We start from the raw sequence: 7,293 nt of genomic DNA, 5'->3' as shown, positions 1-7,293 counted from the left end.
GTGTAAGACACAGGTCATAAGAAATGGGGTGGAAGAATCTAGAGGTGTAGAAGTGTTGGGTCTGCCCTGAATAGCTTATAGTTTGGTTGGAGAGATAAAGGGCCAGCCCATAAATTGCTGCCAATAGGCAAGATATGGTGAGGCCCATGAGGTGGTTGAGAAGGGGACAGTATGCAAAAAGGAAGGACCTCTTTCTTCCTAATAGGCCTTAGAGAAGGCTTCTTGGAGATGGTGGGGCTTCAGCTGGCTTGGAAGAAAGGGTGGGCTTTGAAATGTGGAGGTAGGAGAGAGGGAAGGCCTTCCTGACCTGGGGTGGGGGCATTCTTCCTTACCTGTGCAAACAAAGGTAAGGGGGCTGGAAAGTTCAGTGTATTTTAAGGGAATGGTGAGAAACCATCTGGATTGGAGGGAGGCTTCTGGTCTGTAGAGTGAGGCATGCAAGCTGCAACCTTGGAAGGCCCACCAGATCTGGATGTACAGGATGGCATAGAGGTAATGAGGCCACACTTGAAGTTCCTCGATGGGAGGGCACAGGAGTGAAAAGGAAAGGAGAGGTGACCTTACACAGCCATTTATAGTGAGCACCATGGCATTAAGCTTCTGAGAATGCCAGGATGGTTGCCCCATCTTCACAACTAGGGAGCTTGGAGACAACTGGGTCCTCTGACAGCCAGGTTGGATATGAAGGAAGACAGGCTCTTTAAAGAATAGAATGTGGCCTCTAGGAGGCTGTTTATTAGGAAGAGAAGATTGTGGTTTAGGCCTCATTCCAGGTCAGCTGGGCAATTCTCTCAGGCTTGCCATCTTGTGTCCTGTTTTCTTCTACTTCCTCAGTGATGTGGACCAGGGGGTGGGTGACCTGGGCCATGGCCAGGGGGAGGCCCGCAGGGCCCTGGACCATGGTGGGGGGGTGGCCCGCAGGGCCCTGGGCCATGGCCAGGGGGTGGCCCGCAGGGCCCTGGACCATGGTGGGGGGGTGGCCCGCAGGGCCCTGGGCCATGGCCAGGGGGTGGCCCGCAGTGACCTGGAGGATGGCCATGCCCCCCACAGTGGCAGTGCCCCTGTGGAAAGTCAAATGAACAATGTCAGAGTCAGAGGTCAGGGCTAAGCTTACCTGAGATCAGCTCTCCCTCACTCCACTTCCCTGGGGGACTCAGGATTTCTAGGCAAGTAAGGAGTTGCGGTGGAGGGCTGGGGGCATGGGTAGCATGTCCCGTGCCTTTTGCCTTGGTGAGGCCAGAACACTGAGCAGATAAAAGGCAAGCAACCTAGATTTATTGGTTTCTATTCTTTGAGCCAAGATATGACTCCCGCTCCCTGTACCTCGATTTATTTTATTTGCAACTAAGAAGCAGAATTATTTCATCTTCTCCTTTCTCTCACCCAGGAACCCTTGCAGAGTGATTAGAGGCTTTGCCATGCTAGGAACTGCAGGCTCATTGTACTTAGGAGCAAGGGTGAGGCTAGAGGAGGCTACAGAAGAGCTCTTTGAAGGCCAGGGGCAGGGGGAGACAGGAGGCTGGGTCAGGGGAGATGAAAGAGCTGAGGAGGGGAAGAAGGAAGACAGTTGGAGGATGAGAAGACACGGAGGGTAGGAGGTGGCAAGGTGAGGATGTATGTATTCTTTTTATAGGTAGTGTGTATGTGTGTAGACGGTGTGTGCCATATTTATATAAAATAGCTATGTTTGTGTACGTGTGCATGGGTGGGTTCATATTCAAGCTTGGTATGTACACAGATACGTGCATGGAGTGCATGGTTCTGTGTACATGAGTATGTGCGAGCTCATACCTGTTCCTGAGCGGATGCCAGACCCAAGAAATCAGGAAGAATAGAAAGTAAAATCAAAGCTTTTCTGCCTCAGTCAGAAGAGGTCTGGAAAAAGTGTGGTTTAACCTTCCATCTTGGCTGGAATCATTCCTGAAGTCCCAAGGCCAGGGGAGTTTTTTGTTTTTTTTTTGTTTTTTTAACTTTTTGCCACAAGCCCAGGGGGCAGGCAAGAGATACCACCTTGCTTCTGTGGTAGGGGACTCGGGGTCTGGGGCCCTGTGGAGCAGGGCGGGGCTATGCTCCCACTGTCTGGGCTGGATAACTCCCCAGTCTCCTTCTGCCTCCTAGGGCTTGATTAGGGCTTGGTACCAGTGGGGAAGAGGCAGGCTCCAGGGCTGGGCGCTTTCCTGTGACCATGGTAGAGCAGCCCCTGCCCCATCCAGGCTCAGTGATGCCTGGAAACAGCCACTTCCCACCCCACCTGCCTCTCTGCCTATGGCTCTTTTGTTTGGGGGTTGGCACACAGACCAGGCCTAGGAACTGAGTCTGCTGGTGGTAGCCAGTGGGTGAGAAGAGGTGGAGGAGACGCAGTCTCCTTTCTCTGGCAGGAGTAGGTCCTAGGGGCCCCATAGTGTGGTTGGAGTTTGGGAGCAAGCCAGCTATCCAGCAAGGCTGTGGGGGTAGCCAGGAAAGCAGAAAAGCATAGCACAGGCGGGGAAGCAGCAGGAGAGAGGATGGGCTGCTAGGGCAGGGAGGGGACGTGAGGAAAGGAGAGAGACAGATGGGAAAACAGAGGAGAGAACGCCAAGAAGGCTGCAGCCAGCAGGGGGTGGAGGAGTGCAGCGCTGCCCACCCCACCCCCACTCCACGGGGCTGCTGCCTGAGCCTGCTCCCTTCTTTTCATTTGGGGGAAGTGGTGGCTGCTCCCTGAGGGTCTAGGAAGGAGGCTAGGGGTCTGGAGGACATGACAGTGGGAGGAAAAAGGGGAGACCATTGGGGGAACTTTCCTACCTTCGGACCTGTGGGAGAGGAAGGGAAAAAAAAGAAGCAGCTTTGGTCATTTGGTTCTGCAGTAAAAAAAAACCTGTCTTCTCCCTGGCACTAAGGATTTTGTGCCCACACCCCTAACCCAACAGGGCCTCTCAGACATGGTCACTTGCCTGACAATCATTCCTTCATTCATTCTCTCAGCAAAGATACATATTGGAAGTCAATATAAGGTTCAGCAGTGTGTCCCTGTGTGCTCAAGGGCTGGCTGAGTCCTCCTGGGTGGAGTGGCGCCAGTTAGGAGGTATGGGTTCTTGTCTCAACTCTGTCAGCCTGGAGGTGCTCCATGGTGGCCAACCCTGTCATCCACCTGATTCTTGCTTCTACCTCCAGGCCAGCAGCCCTGCCAACCTCCCCATCTGTCCTCTGCCCCTGTCACGCCCCACGTATCTCGGCCCAATCTCTGCTCAGCCTCTCAGAGCTGTTTGTTGTCTCCTGTTTATGACCTTCTGTTCTCAGCTCTTGGCCTTTGCTCATGCCTCCTCCCACTTGGAAATCTCCCTGGAGCAGCTGCGTGTTGCCCTCATGCAGGAAATCCACATGGGAGCCATCCAGGCTGCCCAGCTGTGGGTCCACTGGGCTCCTGCAGCACCCACCTGAGTGGTCCTGCATGTTCTGAAGTGCCCCATTGGTGTGGGAATCACCTGCTACTTCTTAAAGGCTAGGACGGTCTTTTGTTCATTTCGAGGGAAGCCGATGGCACAGCTCCCAAGAACTGGATTCTGGATTCCGACCCAGCTGCACCTCTATGGCCTTTCCCTGAGCATAACCCCTAGCTCCCCTGGGCCTTGAGTGTGCGGTGGGAGAAGCACCTACCCTTAGAAGCACCTAAGAACATGATGAGTAAGCATGCTTTTTAAACTGTAACATGTTCTACAGTATGTAAGGGCTTGTCTTCATTGTGGACCCCTACCACTGCCTTCATACAAACACACACGCACGTACATTTTTGGCACGCACTAGTTATGGCTGACTGATAGTCCCTGCCTTTACCGCTCTCCTGCTCTCTCCCTTCTTCCAATTCCCAGCCTCTCAGCCACAGTGCTTACCTGGGTCCATCTTTTTGGAGTAAGAGCAGGGAATACCTGTGTTCAAAAGGTAACTTTTAATTTACTGTAATCTAAATTGCAGTCTTTCCTTTCTCCCTCCCACGGATGCGCGCGCGCGCGCACACACACACACACACACACACACACACACACACACCCTTCAAAGGAAGAAAGGGAAAAAACTGCTCCCTCCGGCTTAGCTTGGCCCCAATATAGAGCTGGCACTGTAGGTGCCAGGCATGGGGGTTAAATGGACACAGCGGGTTCACCTACATGGTGGGTAGATGGAGACACAACAGCACCATGTACCAGCCCCTACACCCCATACTCTTACACTTGCCCCCCTAGACTCAACAATTGTGTGTTAATCCGATTCCTCTTGGGAAGATTTCAATATCCGTTCATTTGCTAATTATTCATGTTGTGTGTCTGCCCTGTGCCAGGTCATGGTATGCTTGTCCCTACAGACTCTTGTCTTGTGTAAACATCTGGCATGGCATGGGAGCAGGAAGCTTGGAGCTATCAGTGTGCCCAGTGCAGGGACGGGAAGGATGGTTTGCTAGGACAGGAATGGGGTTGGTGGCCCCTGAGGGCACAAGTGAATGGATTTTTGCCCTGGGGCTCAAGTGAATGGAAAGCCTTCCATGGGGTCCTAGCTGCTTGTACCTGTCTCCTCCCACCAGGATTGGAAGGGGGTGGGAGCTTGGAGTCTGAGCCAACTTGTCATTCACCAACAAGCCGTGCTGTCATGAGATGGAGCTGCTGAGGTAACGTGGTGCCAAGGCTGGCCATGTCTTGCTTGGGGCTGGCAAGTCACAATGGACAACCCCAGAATGGGCCCAGTGAACATACAGTACATTCATTTTTTTTCAACCCTCAAATGGGAGTGTAGTATGTGACGTCAGGAGCAAATACTTGACATCAGGGCTTTCTGGTACTTACAAGTTTGCTGAGCATACAAAAACAAACAGCGCCCCCAATACAACAACCCTAGCCTCTTGCAAGACACAGCCCCCTGAACCTCTTTTTTTTCTAGGGAGCCTTAGTGCCTCTTTAAAAGTTTTTTTGAGACAGTCTCACTTTGTCATACAGGCTGGAGTGCAGTGGCGTGATCACAGCTCACTGAAGCCTCGACCTCCAGGGTTCAAGCAATCCTCCCACCTTAACCTCTGGAGTAGCTGGGACTATAGGTATGTGCCACCACACCCAGCTAATTAAAAAAATTTTTTTTGGCTGGGCACAGCGGCTCATGCCTGTAATCCCAGCACTTTGGGAGGCCTAGATGGGTGGATCATTTGAGGTCAGGAGTTCGAGACCAGCCTGTCCAATATGGTGAAACCCCGTCTCTACTAAAAATACAAAAATTAGCTGGGCATGGTGGCGGGAACCTGTAGTCCCAGCTACTTGGGAGGCTGAGACAGAAGAATCGCTTGAACCCGGGAGGCAGAGGCTGCAGTGAGCCGAGATTGCAGCACTGCACTCCAGCCTGGGTGACAGAGTAAGACTCTGTCTCAAAAAAAAAAATTGTTTTGTAGAGACAAGGTCTCACTATGTAGCCTAGGCTCAAGTGATCCTCTCACCTTAGCCTCCCAAAGTGCTGGATTTCAGGCATGAGCCACTGCACCCGGCCCCCTGCACCTCTTGAGCTACCCATTTTCACTGGCCTCTACTTGTACTCAAAGTGTTCAGCTGAGGTCAGCCTGTGAACTATACCCATGGTCCTTCGTGCTCCCTCGTCCTTTCCCTTAGTGAGTGATAAAGCTGGAAGAGACCTATGGGGCTGGGCTTTGCGGGGAGGAGAGGTAAAGAAAACCTCAGGGCCAGTCAGGATCGGGTAAGACGAAAGAGAAAAGACAATCCTCAGAATGTATCTCCCCAGTTCAGGCCCAGGTGTTTGAGGGACAGGAGTTGGCAGCTCTGGAAGGGACCTCATGCAATTTCTTCCACTCTCAGCTAAGCCCTGCTGCCTGGCATGGCAAAGGCTATAAATCATAACTGAAGAAGACAGTGGAAGTGTAGGGGCCCAGCCCAGGAGTGGGGACAGTGCAAATGGACAGACACACACCCTCATGCAGAGACACGGAAGCACGGATACCAATTCAATGCATATACACACCCAGAGAGACCCTGACCACATGCACACACAACATACCCCACAGAGACCCTACTGTCCCCAGCCAACAGCAAGTAGAGCCAGGTCCCTACCTGAGAGTGCAGAGCAGGGGCAGGAAGTCTGGGGCACTGTCTGTCCTCAGGTGTATTTGTACAGGTCAGGGAGGGGCTGGGATTGAACAGGTGCACTGGGAGGGCCAGATGCAGAAGGCTCGAGGGAATGAAGAGGGATGGGCTAATCCTTATCTGGGCAAAGGACAGTTGAAAGCAGGATGTGTGTGTGTGTGTGTGTGTGTGTGTGTGTGTGTGTGTGATGGGGAGGCTGGGGAACAAGCCGTTACCAGATTGGTGTGGTAACGAGATGCCACAGAATCCAGGCAGAAGTCCCCAACACTGGCAAGGCTGTTTACACCAGGGACTGGCTCTGAACATTTGTAGAGTTCCTACTGAATGCCAGGCCAGGCATGCGGTGCTTCACACACATTAGTAACCCAATGAGTCCCACAAGATAGATAGGATGATTACCTCCTTTCAGCAGGTGGAGGAATAAATAGTGACCATAGTGGAGGACCTGGTGGAATATTTGCCCTGGGCGCCAAGCCCCAGGCCTGAATTGTCAGATGTGCTGCCCAGCCCAGGGAGCTAGCCTGAGAATGGAAATTAGACACAGAAAAGGGAACTTTTGGGATGGATCTAGGCAGGCGGGGAGGGAGCCCAGCCTGCCAGCTTGCTCTGCACTCCGAAAGCCCCTTGTGGTCCGGTCCCCACTGACCCCTGTGGCCTCTGATGCCTGCCACAACCTCTTGCTTGGCGTGCTCTAGCCATGGTGGCCTTCCTTAGTCCCCTGCAGACAGAGCCAGTGCCCTTGCTCAGCTCTCCTGTCTCCCTGGATCCTTGCTCCTGATGTCTCTTGATCCCAGTGGGGACTCTGTGCTCCTCAGAGGCAGGGGCTGTTGTGGCTTCCTTCCTTCCCTCCTTCCCTCCTCCTCCTCCTCCTCCTCTCTCTCTTTCTCTCTTTCTTTTCTTTCTGAGACGGAGTCTCTCTGTGTCACCCAGGCTGGAGTGCAGTCGCACGATGTCAGCTCACTGCAACCTCTGCATCCTGGGTTCAAGTGATTCTCCTGCCTCAGCCATCCGAGGAGCTGGAATTACAGGCGCCCGCCACCACTCCTGGCTAACTTTTGTATTTTTAGTAGAGACAGGGTTTCACCATGTTAGCCAAGCTAGTCTCAAACTCCTAACCTCAGGTGATCCACCCACCTCGACCTCCCAAAGTGTTGGGATTACAGGCATGAGCCACCACACCCGGCCTGTG

General features: G+C 53.1%; 1 protein-coding gene across 1 annotated transcript, besides 1 other annotated feature; it reads right to left on the bottom strand.

Annotated features, from left to right (window-relative positions):
• Nucleotides 1-699: 699 nt before the first annotated feature.
• On the bottom strand, nucleotides 700-6,101 carry PHGR1 (proline, histidine and glycine rich 1). The gene is made up of 4 exons (NM_001145643.2): nucleotides 6,072-6,101; nucleotides 3,867-3,902; nucleotides 2,782-2,789; nucleotides 700-1,061 (listed from the first exon to the last, which is right to left on the bottom strand). Exons 2-4 carry the CDS (start codon nucleotides 3,874-3,876, stop codon nucleotides 831-833), a joined length of 249 nt encoding a protein of 82 aa, NP_001139115.1. The 5' UTR covers nucleotides 3,877-3,902; nucleotides 6,072-6,101; the 3' UTR covers nucleotides 700-830.
• Nucleotides 2,205-2,730: an enhancer, noted in NCBI's record as "H3K4me1 hESC enhancer chr15:40646605-40647130 (GRCh37/hg19 assembly coordinates)". NCBI's record gives its function as "activates a minimal SCP1, AML or CMV promoter by ChIP-STARR-seq in primed H9 embryonic stem cells {active_cell/tissue: H9 hESC(primed)}" and the evidence as "EXISTENCE:reporter gene assay evidence [ECO:0000049][PMID:30033119]".
• Nucleotides 6,102-7,293: the final 1,192 nt, after the last annotated feature.

Source organism: Homo sapiens, chromosome 15 (genome assembly GCF_000001405.40).
Source record: "Homo sapiens chromosome 15, GRCh38.p14 Primary Assembly".
Classification (NCBI taxonomy): Eukaryota; Metazoa; Chordata; class Mammalia; order Primates; family Hominidae; genus Homo; species Homo sapiens.
The sequence above is the reverse complement of the archived record's forward strand: the minus strand, read 5'-3'. Positions and strand labels throughout refer to the sequence as shown.